This window comes from Homo sapiens, chromosome 2 (assembly GCF_000001405.40).
Source record: "Homo sapiens chromosome 2, GRCh38.p14 Primary Assembly".
NCBI lineage: Eukaryota > Metazoa > Chordata > Mammalia > Primates > Hominidae > Homo > Homo sapiens.
In genome coordinates, this window is record NC_000002.12 from 97,636,197 (window position 1) to 97,654,395 (window position 18,199).

The window sequence follows — 18,199 nt, forward strand, 5'->3', positions numbered from 1 at the left end:
TAATTGCACAAAATTCACTGGGAAAGGGATGATATTTGTCTGTTTTTTAAGGATAAGGTTGGTATTGGCTCAAATTTATATTTATTCTCCCCAAAGAGTCCCTCCCAGGTTTGTAATCCTGATGTAAGAGGCTGCTGCACCAAGTCGCTTCTTTCCAACCTGTCCTACTTTGTGTAGAGGAGGAGAGCGGGGAAGGAAGAAAAGAGAAAAAAAAAGCAAAGAAGTAAAAAGAGGCAGAAGGACAGTCCCTTTTCCTTGACACGGATGGCATGAATGGGCTTTTGCGGAGAAACTCTGCCTGACCCTGGAGTCTGAGTCAGGCAGAGTCTGAGTCAGGTGGAGTCCCAGTTAGAAGTCCTCTGAGGAAGCTGCACTAGAGTCACTGCCCTCAGACATCAACTTCCATGTCTTCCCCACTGCTGCAGTCTAAAGAGTTACTGCTTTCTTCCTCTTCGCCATCTTTCTTCCTGTTGTCTTCTGGTTCCATAGAGACCTGACAGTTTACCCAAATAGTCTGTGATGCCTCTGTTCCTGCAGCCTGGAGCCCCTGCCCCTCCCCAAACCCTTCTTGCAGACCCTTTGCTGATGAGGACTGCGGATCTGTTTGTTTCAAGCTGGGGGCCGGGCCTCCCATCATCGCCATATTCTTACCCTTAGCATAGGTCGATTCTTTGTATGCAGCATAATCTTCAGGTGACAAAGTCTTGAGCCAGAGATCCAATTCCACTTTGTATTCCTTCTGCAGCAACTCAGCCTGGCTCTTGTAATGATCCTTCTGGCTCTGCGGGATGCGCTGCCAGCGTCTGCCAATCTCTACCATGCGCTCCCTCAGGGACAAATGTTGCAGCTCCTTACTTGACCAGGAATCTTGGTGAAACTTCTGGTATCCATTCATGGGGGGTTTCTGAGGCTCTCCATGAAATTTTACCTTCTTGAAAAATTGATCCGTTTTTGGAAGAGACCTCACTTCTTCAATATTTTTCTGAACCTTCTTTTGCACTTTGGTTTGAACCCTCTTGCAGATATCAGATTTCTTGCCCTTCTGGTCTAAATCAGGGTGTTCTTCCCTGAATCGAGCAAGTTTTTCCTCAAATTCTTGCTTTTCCTTCCGGAAATCCTGAATATGTTTCTGTTTCATCTGCTCTGGGAGCTCCTTGTATTTCTTTGACAGGATTTTGGTCACTTCCTGGCTTCTCATCCCAGGGTACATTTGGGAGTACTGGGGCCAATTCTCCTTGAAGAAGCGGATATAAGCAGTAAGGAGCCTCTTTGGAAAGTCTGGATGGTTCCTGCCTTTTTGGCTTTTGTTTGTATTTTTAACACATTTCTTAGCTTCCAGGACTAATTTTTTCAAAGTGCTGAATTTTCTCAAGCTGCAAGAAATCTCTAACCATTTGAGTCTGCACATTTCACCAGAAAAGTTTTTAAAAGCTACTTTTCCCCAGTCCATGTGTGACTGAGTTGAGCTGAACGTGCCGTTGTCATCATATGGGAGATTATTCTCCATGCATTCCAGTAACCTCAAGATGTCTGCGTTGGACCAATGGCCTTGGCTTCTAGGCAAAGCCACTTTGATGTCTTTGGCTTACTTATAAGATCCCGGTTATGCAGACACCAGAGTAAGAACACAGAGTTCCTTACTTTTAAGAGTCAGTGGATGATTTCTTTCTGGAAGTCCTGCAGTATGTATGATTCTGTATTTCTGAGGAGAAAGAAAAGAAAGTTACTCTGCTTCATTGGGATTAATGAAAAAAATTACACCCTATTTGTCATATGTCCCTTGTATAATTAATTTACTCAATGATATAAATAAAATATAGCCCATTTCTGAATGAAAATCCATATTTGCCTTTCATATGCTACATGCGCAATATTCAATATCTCCGCACCCCACCCCAGCCTTCTTTCTGCCAGATCTCGCATGAACCGATCTTAAATTGAGTTGCATAAGGCAAACACCAGACCACTCATCACTTAAGAAGCTTAATAGAACAGAAATGCCCTGAAGACAGAGTCAAGAGTTAAAGTGGAAGGAGAAATGCCTAAACGGGAAAGACTGTTCATTCTACAGTGCCCTGAGTATGACCATTTTCTAAGCACAGCCCAAATAGCCATAGCTAAAGGTGCAGATGAGAAGTTAAAGATGCAATAGGACAAGCCCAAGAGCTCCTCCAGACATGCATCCAACTGTTGTTACCTTTTTGTGAGGGAATGTGAATCTGTGATAAAAGACTGAATTAAAGATTCTCCAGGAACCATGCATGGGAATGAATGCTTTCTAGTGAACCATACCGCTTCTCCTTTTAAATATCAAGGATTTAATGACAATTATAAAACATTTCAATTTTATTTGGTTAACTGTTCATCATCTTTAAGCCTCAGTGAAAGTTTGACTTCCTCCGGAAAGTGCCTCCAAAATACCTGGCATTTTCCATTATAGAACTTGAAAACATGGCAGATCCGATAACTACTGCTTATTTTTTTTAAATTTTATTTATTTATTTTTTTACCAATTTTGTTTTGCCTAAAGTAATTCCTCTGGGACATGATTTCCCAACTAATTCTCCAAATTCTCATAACTCTTTCACTAGTCTTTTTAGGATAATCTTCTATTCTAAGACAAAGCCTAACTTCAGTAAAATTGTGTACAAACACATACAACATTAAATGAAACCAGATCTTAAACAGAGGGTGCATAAGGAGTGTAACATGGGGACTTCAGGGGAAAATATGCATTAGAAGGGAAAGAGAACAGAGTTAAGATGCCAGTGGAGGTTGAAATTCTGAGAATGAGTTTCAGAATATGTGAGAATATTTTTGAGAACTATTTTTAATTCTCAGTAGAGTATAGAAGGATGTAGCCTTTGAATGACGTTAAAAATTCACTAGAAGTGTGAAGAATGTTATAATATCACATGCCTCAAAACACAAATTCCTTAACATAGAGATTAAAATGTTTTAAAATATTGGATAATAATTCAAGTCCATATTTGAGGTAGAAGATAAAATAAAGAATAGCTCATATATCAAATTTATTATGTGAAAAAGACTTTTGGAAAATTGTTCATAATAAATGAAAATATAAATAAAAATTAAAATTTATAAAAAAGCATTAAAATAAACTGTGAAAAACTTAGAAGAGGGTAAACTTGAAAGTTATTGAATTTTTAACCTCAAAAATCTGAAAAAAGTCAGTTCATTAGTGTCCTAAAAAAATAAAAATAAACGTAATAATGTAACAGGAGAGTAATTAAGAAAAAAGTAACATTCACAAAGGAAAATAAAAAAATTAAAAAATATTTGATTTCATACTTTGTGTTTAAGATCAAAACATACTCTGAAATGGTTCAGGGATAAAAAGATGTCAAACTTCCAAATATATTGTAAGTGATGATTATAAAAAATAAATACATAAATAAATATAAGATGTATTCTAACTCGGAAAAAGGGGAAGTCACATAGACTTGATGTTAGAAAAGAGATGTGGAATACTCAGAATCTGAATTTAGGAAAAGAAGTACTGTCTTCCCAATTGTAAATGTTAGGATGATGCGTATAAAGCAGTGAAAATAAAAATACAGTTGTGTTTTTGTTGTTATGTGGCTCTTTTATGAGCCAGACATTTTTTCAAATTGCCAAAGAGCGTGGCCCCCCAAAATATGTGTCTAAGTCCTAACCCCTGAAACCTGTGAATATGACCTTTTGAAAATAGGATCTTTGCAGATGTAATTACCTTGGTAATCTCCTAATGAGATTAGTCTGGGTTTAGGGTGGGACCTAAGTCCAATGACTCGTATCATTATAGAAGAAATCAAAGGAAGATCTGAGACACATCGACAGCCATGTGGAGACAGAGGCAGAGACAGAGCTCACTGGAGCTATGCTGCCACAAGCCAATGAAAGCTAAATGTTCCCATCAGCCATCAGAAACCAGCAGACAGGGAGGGGCTGGATTTCTACTCAGAATCCCCAATGGGAACCAACTCTGTCAACGTGTTGATTTTAAATTTTAGGTTTTCAGTATGTGAGAGAGCAAATTATTGTTTTATCTGTGATAGTTTATTACAGCAGCCCCAGCAAACTAAAATGTAAATGTTTTACACTTATTATTAATATCTTATTTTTCGCCTTGAATTTCTATGAGGTCATTTTATGCTTGCTGTTCTATTACTTCCATGATGAAACTGCGACCAGGTGTGGAGGCTCATGCCTGTAATCCCAGCACTTTAGGAGCCTAAGATGGGAGGATCACTTGAACTCAGGAGTTCAAGATAAGCCTGGGCAACAAGTGAGAAATCCCCTTAAAAAAAGAAATCTCTTAAAAAAAGAAAGAAAGAAGCTGGGAAATACTAAGAATTTATACAGGGCCAGGCACGGTGGCTCACGCCTGTAATTTCAACACTTTGGGAGGCTGAAGCAAGAAGATTGCTTGAGCTCAGGAGTTTGAGACCAGCCTGGGCAACATAGAGAGACCCCATCTCTAGAAAAACAAAAATTTAGCCAGACCCACACTTGTAGTGCCTGTAGTCCCAGCCACTCTGGAGGCTGAGGTGAGAGGATGGCTTGGGCACAGGAGGGCAAGACTTCAGTGAGCCTTGATTGTATCAGTGCACTTCAGACTAGGCAACAGAGTGAGACCCTGTCTCAAAAAAATTAACCTTGTGAACTGTATGTGATTGCCCCCTTTTCTGTGTTAGAATACATCTTTTATTTGTTTACTTTTTACTTTTTATCATCATCACTTGTAAAATACTTAGAAGTTTAAGACATCCTTTTATCCTTGAACCATTTGAGGGTAAGTTTTGATCTTAAACATAATGTATGGACTCCTGTGACTTTGTGAAGCTGTATGAATTCTTAATTTTTAATTTTTATTAATTTTTTTAATTTTTGTGACATGAAAAGTAAAAAATAAAAATAAATAAATAAAAATGTATAACCTTCACAAAGTCATGTTTTCTATTTTATAGAGTAAAAATATCAAAAAATAACAAGAGACTTTGAAAAGAACATTCAAACAACAAAATAGATTTTGTAAATTAAAAATACCATTACATAAATAAAAACTTCAGTGGAATATTAGGAAAATAAAAAAGTGCCTTTGAGCACTTTGAAAACTTTGCAGACGACCAAGGCTGCATGCAACCTGAAGTTACAGACAACACAGAACTTTTCATATTCTACAATAAATGTTTCCAATTAAATTCTAGATGTCATGCTATAGATAAAACTGTAAAATATCCAGGACTTTCCGTCCAGAAGTTCACAATTTTATAAACAAAAAAAAAATTAAAGGACATACTCACCTGAATATTCTATAACTGGTCTGAACAGTGCTTGCAGGAAAATTCATGCATTTGGCTCAGGAGTTGGGTGTCCCCTGGGCTTTCTGGATAACAGATGTTATTCTCTGAGATTTCCACAGTCTAGCAAATTCCAAATGCCTCTATAAATAATAAGCCTTGCTTTTTGGAGGCCAATGTATTATAGGATCCTTAAATCCCCTCCCTTATTAGGTTTCTGCAGTACAGAGGACCAATGAAAGGATTTACCCTTCCACCATTGTTTACATCAACTCAATTTCTAATCTCTGTAAATAGCCCTCTACAAACACCCTCTAGTTGTGGTTAGTGCTGGTTTATCTTGTCATTTATTTATTTATTTATTTATTTATTTATTTATTTATTTAGAGAGGGAGTCACCCTCTGTCATCCAGGCTGGAGTGCAATGGCATGATCTCGGCTCACCACAACCTCTGCCTCCCAGGTTCAAGGGATTCTCCTGTCTCAGCCTCCCGAGTTGTTCAGATTACAGGCATGTGCCACCAGGCCCGGCTGATTTTGTATTTTTAGTAGAGGCAGAGTTTCACCATGTTGGCCAGGCTGGTCTCAGACTCCTGACCTCCAGTGATCTGCCCGCCTTGGCCTCCCAAAGTGCTGGAATCACAGGTGTGAGCCACCATGCCTGGCTTTTGTCATTGATTATTAAACAACACCCACGTGGCAAATTCATGTTTGATTTTTTGGGGCCCCAAGTCTACTTTCATTTCTGCTCCCACATCTGATAGTATTTTTATATGATATTTGAATACATCATTCCATTCTTTGATAATTTCTGCCCTTTCTTCACTGAAATCTAGGATCTGCTACCATCTCACCTGGCTCATCGACATGTAAATCCCTTCAGTACTGATCAATTTCTACCAGTCTTTAGATTTGAAGACCAAAATGCTAATGACCATGATGGATGGTTTTGGAAAAAGACAAGTAGAGCCTCAATGTCTGGCACCTATGGCTGATTTAATTTTAAACTCAGGGAAATGAAATAGGTACTGTGCATAAAAAATATTCAGGTGATTTTATTTAAAGCATTTTTACTAAATTCAAACTAATCAAAAAAACCTTTATTTAAATGACAACTTATTTCAATAATTTTTAAATTTTCATTTTTAATCAATATATAAAAATTGCACATATGTATGACATACGATATAATATTTTGATACATGTATAAATTGTGCATTGATCAAATTAGGGTTTGACAACCTCAGGCTTCATAATTTATGAAATAGACCTCTGCCATTTAAAAACTTTATATCTAAACTTACCAACTAGTAATTAACTGAACATATCAAATAAGATATTATTTAAAAGAGCCTAAATTAATAAAATGTTTAAATACATTTTGAGCTTTAAAATACAATAAATAAATATGACTTATTTTAGAAAAATTTTTTTAAAAAATAGACAAAGGTGGATATAGACAAAAACATGTACAGAAAAATATCAAAAGGACTAAACCCCTTGGAGATTTTAATGGTAAAAGCTTGCTGATATTATTTTTAAAATTATCAACTTTTAAAAAAACATTTTATGGCCATTTGTTAATGAGCATAAGCTTCTACTGAAAATGAAATATTTGCTTCTATAAGAATATACTCTCAGATATTGTATGAGAATATACTGCAGCATTGTATGAGAGGCAAAAAACTAGAAGCCTTTGGAATATTCATCATGGGAGAATGGCTGGGCACATTAACGTACATTCACAGTAGGGAATATTCTGCAGCCATCACGTAAGTTAAGATCTAGATGTATTGATCTGAAGGGACATCTACAAAATATATATATTTTTTGAGCCGGAGTCTTGCTCTGTCGCCCAGGCTGGAGTGCAATGATGTGATCTTGGCTCACTGCAACCTCTGCCTCCCGGGTGCAAGTGATTCTCCTGCCTCGGTCTCCCACGTAGCTGGGATTACAGGCGCCCACCACCGCTCCCAGCTAATTTTTGTATTTTTAGTAGAGACAGGGTTTCGCCATGTCGGCCAAGCTGGTTTTGAACTCCTGACCTCAGGTGATCTGCCTGCCTCAGCCTCCCAAAGTGCTAGGATTACAGGTGTGAGCCACCGCACCCAGCCTACAAAATATTTTTTAATGAAAGAAGCAACTAACTAAAACTTTGTATAGTAGTTATGTTTTTATATTTTATATTCATATATGCAGTGATGCTCAATGGGAATTTTGCAAATCCAGGGGGCATGTGGCAATGGCTGAAGATATTTTTGGTTATCATGTCAGGGAGGTGCTAATGACATAGGGTTAAATCCTACAATGCACAACCTCCCTCAAAGAATTATCAACCCAAGATGTCAGTTGTGCTGAGCTTGAGAAACTCTGTCATAGGGAAAGGAAAAAAAGGATAAGCACCAAACTGCTAGCTTGTTCCTTATATATCTGTGCTGTTCAACTTATAATGTACATTTATTTTGACAACTGAAAATTATCCTATAAAAATAAGTTTATTGTGCTGGCAAAGACAATGATAGAGCAGAGGTGGCAGACTGTTCCCCAAGCCAACTGTTTCCAAAGGAGACCTGAGGGACTGGGTGTGAGTTGACAGTGGTGGGAGCTGGAAGCAGCAAGGGATGCGGGGACATCTGGGGAGCCTGGACCTGACCTTGGAGCTCACTCACACAATCTAAATAATCCCAGAGTGAGGCTGAGGTTTTCCTGAGTTGGATGAGGGCCTGCGAAAATTTCCTATTATTAGGCAAGCCTACTATGAGAGTGAGAAGCCTAAACTCAATTTCCATTTTATAGCCTGGAGTAAACCACTTCTGGTCAGGCAGCAGGGAATCATAACATATCAGAGCTGAATACCTCACTGGTTTGCTGAGGGGCAAGTTAGTAGGTGTTCCTCAGAAAGGATTTTGTGGTCAATTAAGACAGGGAAACTCTGGCTTAAACTGCAGGTAAATTAAATAAGAGGTCTTTACTGCAAGCCTAATCAGAGCCTTTATTATGCTAGTGTCCATCTCCAAAAGGGTGGTCATCAAATGCAGGCCCTCCCTGTCTTGACCAAGTCCTTTTTCTTGAGATCATGTCTTGAGACTTGGATGCCATGCAATACACTTTGGGAAATACTAACCTAGTTGAACGACAGTTTTACTGATGTAGAAATGGCGGCCCAAAGGATAAAAAGTAGCTGAACTAGCTGGTGGGGCTACTTTCCAGACCAATGCTTTTTTCTCCTGCCTAAGACCTTAACCACAGTTGCAAATTAACTACAGATCCTCAGAATTTTCGCCCAATTCAACTTGGAGGGGTTGCAGTGGAGGTGAGGGAGAAGGGAGTAACAGTGAAGCCATTCAAAGCAAAAACCACCTTTAAAGAAATTTTGGCCTTAGAATACAGGGTTTTTTTTTTTTTTTTTTTAATTGGTGGAGGGGGCACCCAGGAAGACCAGACGTGCTCCTGTGAAGCAACGCTCCACCACGTCCTTTTGAAAATACCGTAGCCTGCATGAGACAGGCGGGAGCACCTAAGCCTTCAACTCTCCCCATGTTGCCTCCAATTGACCTCACTGGGCCAGGAAAAGCCCTATAAACTGGTTTTGTATACTCTATCCAAGTAGTAAATTTACTAAAATTACTGGATCCTACTATATACCAGACCTCTGCAAGGCATTGAAGATTCAATGATGAGCATTAATTCCCACTCTAAGGGGATTTTTCTATCTGGTAGGGAAACTCAGATACCGCATGCAGCTAGCCTGTCACAGGGCTATACTGACTAAAGCTCACCCTAAGAAATTTGCACATCTTAGCCTATGGGCAACGGGAAGCCATGGACGGAATATGTTTTCCGTTTCAAACAAGGAACTCCAGTCACAGCAGGCTCTAACTCCATTTCCTATTATCAACTCCCCTTCCTGCTCCTCCTCCCTTAGTAGCCTCGAAAAAGAGTGGCCACTTCCTTCACATCACCAGGGCCTTGGTCCTGGTAGGGGGTCCCGCCCCCGGCCCTGTCCTCCTCCCCAGGCCGGGACCTCCGCGCCTCCCACACACAGTACAACTCTAACACGAAACTGGGCCAGGACTGCAGGTAGGTCCCGTCCAATGCGACACGCTCGCGACGGCCCACGCACTGCCAGAACCAGCCCTGCCACTAACCAGCCTAGTAAGGAACGCAGTGATCTTTAGGAGCCCACTTCTAAATTCAAATCATTTGGGGTTCAGTAAGTCTCTTCACAGACGGGGACCTAATAGCTTCCATTAGCAGCCTCCACGTTTGCTGAACACGACTACGGGGCCAGACCCACAGGAACTCCAATGTGGTTCAGCCGCTCAACTCCAGGGACCAAAAAGACTTTCCCACCTCCCAGCGTTATTAAAGGCAACCCCGCCCCCAAGCCTCAGCCACTACGCGGTGCAGAAAGAGGCAGAGCTGGGCATGCGCAATTTCCGCCCCCGCCACAGTCTTGGGAGTGGGCGGGCTCGAGGGCTGGGAGGAAGCCGAAAGCTGACCGAGAGGAGAAAGAAGCCCGCCCCCGGAAGTCCCTCCTGTCTCTGCAGCTTGTTCCCGGAAGTTTTGCTGCTAGTCGCGGACGCAATGGCTTCAAGGTTACTTCGCGGAGCTGGAACGCTGGCCGCGCAGGCCCTGAGGGCTCGCGGCCCCAGTGGCGCGGCCGCGATGCGCTCCATGGCATCTGGAGGTACTCGGGTCTCCGGGCGTGCCAGGGACCAGAGTGTTGCCCTCCCAGGGTGGTCCCAGGGCGGCAAAGCGGCGCGGCTCGTGCAGCTTCTCGAGGTCCCAGTGGCCGCTTTACGGTCCCCAGTGCCTCAGGCTCTGCAGGCATCTCCCTGTAATTCTGGACCGCTGCTCCTGCCGCTCCCCGAACTCACTCCGCTGCGAAAGTATCCTAAACGGAGGTGCCGGGTGACCTTGGGAGGGACCGGGGCTGCCACCGGGATGGGGAGGGGTCCGGCCTCCCTTCAAACCTGCGCCCACCTCAAGCAGAGTGGGTTCTACATGCTTTTAGACAAATGTCGACAAATTTGCCTCGGTGGTTGGAGAAAGAAAAGCTCATAGGCCGGGCGCGGTGGCTCACAACTGTAATCCCAGCACTTTGGGAGGCCGAGGCGGACAGATCCCCTGAGGTCAGGAGCTCAAGACCAGCCTGGCCAACATGGTAAAACCCCGTTTCTACTAAAAATACAAAAATTAGCCGGGCGTGGTGGCGCGCGCCTGTAGTCCCAGCTACTCGGGAGGCTGAGGCAGGAGAATCGCTTAAACCCGGGAGGCGGAGGTTCCCGTGAGCCAACATCGCGCCATTGCACTCCAGCCTGGGCAACAAGAGCAAAACTCCGTCTCAAAAAAGAAAAAAAAAGCTCCCCCGAGTGCTGCCGCTTGTGTGGATGGGTACTTGGTGGTTCTTAGGGGACCATGGATATGAGTAGCCTTTAGGAGCTTGTGAGCCCGCTAAAACTTATACAGAAGTTTCGGGGCACCATTTTCCTTGATCATTTCTGTTTGTAGTTTTTCTATCAGTCATTTCAGTCAGCGTCATAATTCACGTTATCTTCCTTTAGGTGGTGTTCCCACTGATGAAGAGCAGGCGACTGGGTTGGAGAGGGAGATCATGCTGGCTGCAAAGAAGGGACTGGTAAGGAGAAACTCCCTTCTGTGTCTTCTGTGTAACTTATGGCCTTGGATGTGTTCATAGTGGTCTCCTCTCTGGGAGTATTTGATACAGGAAACTTGGCTTGTAGGAACAGTCCCCTGAGCTTCTGGAAGGTAGGGCTTATTTGGCCTAATGGTTCAATTCTTGTTTTTTTTGTTTTGTTTTGTTTTTTGTTTTTTCTTCAGGACCCATACAATGTACTGGCCCCAAAGGGAGCTTCAGGCACCAGGGAAGACCCTAATTTAGTCCCCTCCATCTCCAACAAGAGAATAGTAGGCTGCATCTGTAAGTACCTCACCTCTATTTTTTATCCACTTGCTTAATATATCCTACAATAGTGTGTAAGCTGCCTCAAATCTTCAGTGTGTGAGTGCATGTTGGTAAGTTTGTCTAAGGGTCTTGACACTCTCAAGCCTCATTATGCCTGATAGTTCATCCTTACTGGAAAGAAGCGCAGCACAGCGGTAAGACTGGCTCACTGGGAGTGCGGCATGAAGGAGTACCCACCCAGCAAATATTTATTGTTATACTGCTTCTATGCCAGGCATCATTTTAGACACTAGGGATACATACCAGAACGGACCCTGCTTTGCGTTCTACATAGGCAAGGGAATTGTTAGAATTTACAGTGACCTTGATACAAGGTCAGTTTACTCATAGGTGAACTCAGAGCCTCAATTTCTTCATCTGAAGAATGGGAGGAGGGCTTGAACTGATCTCTTAAGATATCAACCATAGTCTTACTTGTGTATCAGAGATGTCTGAGGAAAAGAAATTCATGTTGAAAGTCTCCCTTTCTAGGTTGGATGACCATAAACCACCTTTTTTCCCTTTTAGGTGAAGAGGACAATACCAGCGTCGTCTGGTTTTGGCTGCACAAAGGCGAGGCCCAGCGATGCCCCCGCTGTGGAGCCCATTACAAGCTGGTGCCCCAGCAGCTGGCACACTGAGCACCTGCACTAAATTACTCAAAATGTGCTGTAAAGTTTCTTCTTTCCAGTAAAGACTAGCCATTGCATTGGCTCCTTCTCCCATAGATGGCTGGTCTTATTTCTTACCCGTATTCTTTGGTAGGCATGGAATATGCTTATTTTGGGAAAAGCTGTCTGTTAATGCTAGCTTGCCATCCACTTACTGAAAGTGTATAACCAGTGTATAGTGCTTAGATTAATAATAAGAATAGATCGACAACCCGTAATGCAATGAATGGGACCACCTGGTATGAGAGAAAGGGGCGGGCTGAGGAGTCAGGCTGACAGGACTTAAAATATTGGCTCCATCATTTGGCTCTATCTCTGTGGACATGTTCTCTGGGGGTCAAGTACAACTACAAAAAGGTAAGTACCTTACAAGGTGCTTAATATGTAAAGAGCTGAGTGGATAGTAGGTCCTCACAGTATCCTCATAGAGACAGGGTGGCCTTGTGAAGAGAGTTTTGGGGATTTTGAAGTCTTGAGGGACCCAGGTGCAAAGTAAGAATTCATGGGGATACCAGCAGCAAAATTCAGAATATGGAACAATTTCAGAAATCACTGACCATGTTTCTTCAAATAAATTGCAAGGAGTGGGGGGAAAAGCTAGGGAGAACATGTGGAGAAACAGATAAGGGAGATACCAGTCAGCAGCATGCACACCTTGTTTAGATCTTGATTTGAAAACAATTATAAAGGAAAAAAAATTGAGAAGAATTTGAACTCTGGATATTTGATATGTAGACATTTACCACCCTTTCAGGTATTTATATAGTTTTGTTTTGTTTTTTTTAATGCTTGAGATACGCACAGGAATAAGGGAGGGGAGAAATGCCAAAAAAGCCCACTTTAGCTGCTTCATACCTGTGACACCTTGGGACAAGTTAAAATCTCAAAACCCTCTTACCTACAAAATGGAAATACCTTTTCATTTTGTGTGGAGATTAGCCAGAGGTGGCTTCAGTTACTATCTTCACAAAATTGGTCGAAAGTAGGTATTTCAGTGGGAGCTGATAGAGTCAGAGAAAAGCCCCTTCCCCTCATCTTGCCCATCCTGAAGGTGTAGTCAAAGCTATTGCTTCCATCCTTGTTGTTCATGACCTGTGTCCAGGAAATGTCTAAGCACTGACCTGCCATTTAAGGCCCTTTCCTCTGGGAAGGGGAGCTCTCAGATAACCCCCTGTGAAATCTAACCCCTACACGCCCATGAGATTAGTCTGTGCTGTCACTAAGCCCTCCTGTGTGGCTGGCCTGCCTTTCCCTTTCCACATCTCTTCCAACTCAAACTCGGCTGAGGGAGACTTTTGACTCCCCACATCATTAATCCAGTCTGTTTTCTCCCTCCCTCATCTCCAAGTCTTTGCTTTTCTTTTTTAAAATTTAACCAATTTACTTGTAAAGAAAAATTGGCTGGGCATGGTGGCTCATGCCTGTAACCACAACACTTTGGGAGGCTGAGGTGGAAAGGACCACTTGAACCCAGGAGTTTGAGGCTTCAGTGAGCCATGACCGTGCCACTGCACTCCAGCCTGGGTGACAAAGCAAGACCTTGTCTCAAACCAAAAAAACAAGCGGAAAGAAAAATCTCCAGTACATTTCCAGACAGTGGCAGGCAGAATAATGATCCCCCAAAGATGTCCGCGTCATAAATCCCTAGAATCTGTGAATATGTTAGGTCACATAGCAAGAAGGAATTAAGACTACAGATGGAATTCAGGTTGCTAATCAGCTGACCTTAAAACAGTTATTCCCAGATTATCCAGGTGGATCCAAAAAGCACAAAAGAGGCAAAAGAGAGTCAGAGATGTGACTCAGAATGGTCAGAGAGATGCAATGTTGGTGGCTTTGAAGATGGAGGAAGGGGTCCACGAGCCAAGGAAGGCAAGTAGCTATTCTAAAAGCTGGGAAGGGCAAGGAAATGATACTCTAGTCTTCAGAAAGGAGTGAAGCCCTGCTGATACTTTCACTTCAGCCTAGTGAGACCCACATTAGACTTAGGAACCGTAAGATAATAACTAACTATTTTTTTTTTTTGAGACAGAGTCTTGCTCTGTCGCCCAGCCTGGAGTGCAGTGGCACGATCTTGGCTCACTGCAAGCTCCGCCTTCTGGGTTCACGCCACTCTCCCGCCTCAGCCTCCTGAATAGCTGGGACTACAGGCGCCTGCCACCACGCCCAGCTAATTTTTTTTTTTTTTTTTTAGTAGAGACGGGGTTTCACTGTGTTATCCAGGATGGTCTTGATCTCCTGACCTGTGATCCGCCCGCCTCGGCCTCCCAAAGTGCTGGGATTACAGGTGTGAGCCACCGTGCCCGGCCATAAACTTGTGTTATTTTAAGCCACTAAGTTTGTGAGAATTTTCTGTGGCACTAATAGGAAAAGAATACACAGATCAATAAATCCAATCCCTGAGTCAGTAGGTCTCATATTTAGCTGCACCTTAGAACCACCTGGGGATCTTTTACAACTCCCAGTGCCCAGGCCACACCCAGACATTAAAATAGTATCTTGGGGTAGGACCCAAGCATCAGAAGTTTAAAGTTCCACAGGTGTTTCCAACAGCAAGGCTGAGAACTGCTTCAGGCTAACCATATGGAATAGCTCGCTTCCTTGCCTCATGGTAACTGGGAGCCCTAGTGGTAGGGGGAAAGATATAATGTTCCCCACTAGGAGGACAAAACTTTTGCTTTTGGGTAGAAGTGGGCTCCATCTGAACCTCTGGCCACTTAGCAGCTTAAATTGGATGCCATCTCCACTCACCAAGGAAGAATATAAGCCTCACTCTAACTGTATTAAACTCTTTCCAAGTATACAAGGAAGAACTTTTTCCCAGGGCCATTTGAAAGTAAGGTGATCTGATGCCCCATCACACGCATGTTTATTTCTTACAAAGACATTCTCTTAATACCCACAACATGACCATCAAAATCACAAAACTACGATTTGTATATTTCTACCATCTAATCTTCAGACTCATTTAAGTTTTGCTAGAAGTTCCAATAATGTCTTCTATAGCAAAAGGAGTCAACTCAGAATCACGTGTTGCCCTTAGTTGTTCCATCTGGAACAGTTCCTGTCTTTCCTTGACTATCCCGACCTTGACACTTTTAAGAATTATACCAACAACTTGGGTTTGTCTCTTTCACACTGGATTCAGGTTACGCATGGTGGGCAAGGAATGCTGCCCCCTTCCTGGGAGGCACGTGATGCCCACTTGTCCACTGCTGAGGAGGTTCACTTCTGTCACTTGATGAAGCTAATGTCTGCCAAACTTCACTGTGAAGTTGCTCTTTACTATCTTATGAGGCACTACTTAGAAATGTCAATACCTTGTTCCTCATCAAACTTTCAGCTTACTAATTATCAGTATGGATTCATACTTTATTTTATTCAGTGGATTATAATCCATGGCTATCATTATTTATTTTTTGATGTTTAATTTGTTCCAAATTTGGCCAGCGGGAACCTCTTCTAGCTGGCTCCTGTGGCCTTTTGACATGCCTCTATCATTTGAGATGGAGTCTCACTCTGTTGCCCAGGCTGGAGTGCAGTGGCATGATCTTGGCTCACTGCAAGCTCCACCTCCTGGGTTCATGCCATTCTCCTGCCTCAGCCTCCCAAATAGCTGGGACTACAGGCGCCCGCCACCACGCCCAGCTAATTTTTTGTACTTTTAGTAGAGACAGGTTTTCACCGTGTTAGCCAGGATGGTCTCGATCTCTTGACCTCGTGATCCGCCCGCCTCGGCCTCCCAAAGTGCTGGGATTATAGGTGTGAGCCACTGCGCCCGGCCTCTTTGAGCATTTCTTTTTATTTTCTGGAATAAAATGTTCCAGGCTTGTCTTCCAGGCTGTGAATAAACCCATGAGGAAGCTGCTATTATTACCATCCCCATAATAGAGATGGGGAAGCCTGGGGACAGCTCAGGAATACACAGCTAGCAATTTCTTGTGGCAAGATTGTGAACCCAGACCATAGCTCCAGACCCTGAGCTCTTTTCCCCCACCCCAACTTTTAAGTTATTATTTTTGAAACAGGGTCTTTGTCACCCAGGCTGGAGTGCAGTGGTTTGTTCATAGCTCACTGGAACCTCGAAATCCTGGGCTCAAGCAATCCTGCAGCCTCGGCCTCCCAAAGTGCTGGGATTACAGGCATGTGACACCACACGCAGCGCAATTTTCTATTTTAAAATAATTTTAGACTTACAGAAAAATTGCAAAAAATAATAGAGTTCCTACTTAACCTTCACTCAGTTTTCCTTAATGTTAACACCTGGCAGTACCATAGCATAATTATTGAAACCAGGAAATTAACACTGATGCAGTACTATGGACTAACCAGCAGACCTTATCATGATTTTGCTGGCTTTCCTGGTAAGGTCTTTTTTCCAACCTAGGATCTCACATTGCACTTGGTCTTTCCTTGTCCCCATGACCTGCCACTTTTGAACAAGGCAACTCTATTCATTTGTAGACTGCCCTCAGTTTGGGTTTGCCTACTGCTTGCTCCTGGTTAGACTGAGGTGATGCAAGAATACCAGAGGGAAAATCAGGCCCCTCTTAGTGCATCATCAAGAGACAATGACTTATGGCCAGGCCCAGTGGCTCATGCCTGTAATTCCAGCACTTTTGGAGGCTGGGACAGGCAGATAACTTAATGTCAGGAGTTCGAGACCAGCTTGGCTAACCTGGTGAAATCCCATCTCTACTAAAAATACAAAAATTGGCTGGGTGTGGTGGTGAGCGCCTGTAATCCCAGCTACTCGGGAGGTTGAGGCGGGAGAATCGCTTGAACCCAGGAGGTGGAGGTTGCAGTGAGCTGAGATCTCACCACTGCGCTCCAGCCTGGGCAACATAGAGAGACTCCATCTCAAAAAAGCAAAGAAAAAAAGAGACAATGACTTATGGCTGGGCTTGGTGGCTCATGCCTGTAATCCCAGTGCTTTGGGAGGCTGAGGCAGGAGATGTACTTGAAGCCAGGAGTTTGAGACTCACCAGGGCAATAAAGTGAGACCCCCATCTCTACAAAAAAATAACAACTAGTGGGGTGTGGTGGTGCCCACCTGTAGCCCCAGCACCTTGGAGGCTGAGGCAAGAGGATCCCGTGAGCCCAGGAGATGGAGGCTGCAGTGAGCCGTGATCGTGCCACTGCATTCCACTCTAGCCTCCACAACAGAGTGAGATCCTCTTAAAAAAAAACAGAGACAATGACTTATTACTGGAGATGTATACTCTGATTATTTGGTTAAGGTAGTGTCAATGTCTCTCCACCATAAAGTTACTATTTCTCCTTTTGTAATTAATAAGTATCTTGTAGAGGGATAGAGACAACACAAATGTCTTTACTTTTGCCCACTGATTTTTGTCTCCATTCTTACCTGCAACAATGATCACTATGGTGTTTCCTCAATGGTGACTTTTTTCCCACAATTCCTTTGACATCAATTGGAATTTTACCATAAGTGAGAACTGTCCCTTCTTCCCCATGTATACATTTATTCAGTTATTTATTTGCATGAGTATGACTCACGCATATTTTATGCCATGGCTTATCATCCGTTACAGATTTGAGCATTGGGTGCTCCTTCTAGTTGGTTCTTGTGTCCTTTAGACAAGCCCTTCCCTTTTTCACTTCCTTACTTTATGGTACCACAGAATATTCCAAGCTCATCTATTATTTTCCCTGTTTCAGGGAATTGTCCCAGGGGAAATGTCATGTCCCCTACTAGGAGGACCAAACCTTTGCTCTTGGGTCGAAGTGGCTTCTATCTGAGCTTAGTTTAGAAAATGGAGCCCATCTTCCCTCACCAAGGGAGAACACAGGCCTCACACTAATGGTATTAAACTATTTACAAGTACAGAATAAAGAACTTTTTCCCAGAATGGTATTTAGAAACCAAGATCTGGACACTGTATGTGCTCATTGCTATTGTAGTGTCATTGCTTCCAGACCTTCCCAACAGACAGGGCTAGGAAATGCATGTGTATGTTCTGATGCTGGCTCTCACACACAGATGTGTTTATTTTGGTATCTATCTGTATGTATATTAAAACCATGACTTCATACTACCTCCAACTCCAATCCAACACAGGCTTCATTCCAGCTGTACTACCTTCCTCATCTGTAGCTTTTTCCAACAGTAAGAAGCTGGCAGAGTCTGAGCACTTAAACCTGCCAGAAGAGGGGGTACAGAGGATGGTGCTTTGCCTTAAAGGACAAGATTTTCACAGGCACAAGCGAAGGTCATTCCCATGGAGAGAACAGCA

At 42.8% G+C, this 18,199-nt stretch overlaps 1 protein-coding gene and 1 pseudogene across 1 annotated transcript, besides 3 other annotated features; one reads left to right on the forward strand and one right to left on the reverse strand.

Moving 5' to 3' along the window:
* On the reverse strand, window positions 389-1,569 carry UBTFL6 (UBTF like 6 (pseudogene); annotated as a pseudogene).
* Window positions 8,824-9,758: an enhancer, noted in NCBI's record as "NANOG-H3K27ac-H3K4me1 hESC enhancer chr2:98261483-98262417 (GRCh37/hg19 assembly coordinates)". NCBI's record gives its function as "activates a minimal SCP1, AML or CMV promoter by ChIP-STARR-seq in naive H9 embryonic stem cells {active_cell/tissue: H9 hESC(naive)}" and the evidence as "EXISTENCE:reporter gene assay evidence [ECO:0000049][PMID:30033119]".
* Window positions 9,561-9,610: an enhancer, noted in NCBI's record as "active region_16238". NCBI's record gives its function as "activates an Ori minimal core promoter by ATAC-STARR-seq in GM12878 lymphoblastoid cells {active_cell/tissue: GM12878}" and the evidence as "EXISTENCE:reporter gene assay evidence [ECO:0000049][PMID:35858748]".
* Window positions 9,791-9,970: an enhancer, noted in NCBI's record as "active region_16239". NCBI's record gives its function as "activates an Ori minimal core promoter by ATAC-STARR-seq in GM12878 lymphoblastoid cells {active_cell/tissue: GM12878}" and the evidence as "EXISTENCE:reporter gene assay evidence [ECO:0000049][PMID:35858748]".
* COX5B (cytochrome c oxidase subunit 5B) lies at window positions 9,866-12,187 on the forward strand. The gene is made up of 4 exons (NM_001862.3): window positions 9,866-9,993; window positions 10,871-10,944; window positions 11,148-11,247; window positions 11,800-12,187. Exons 1-4 carry the CDS (start codon window positions 9,891-9,893, stop codon window positions 11,910-11,912), a joined length of 390 nt encoding a protein of 129 aa, NP_001853.2. The 5' UTR covers window positions 9,866-9,890; the 3' UTR covers window positions 11,913-12,187.
* Window positions 12,188-18,199: the final 6,012 nt, after the last annotated feature.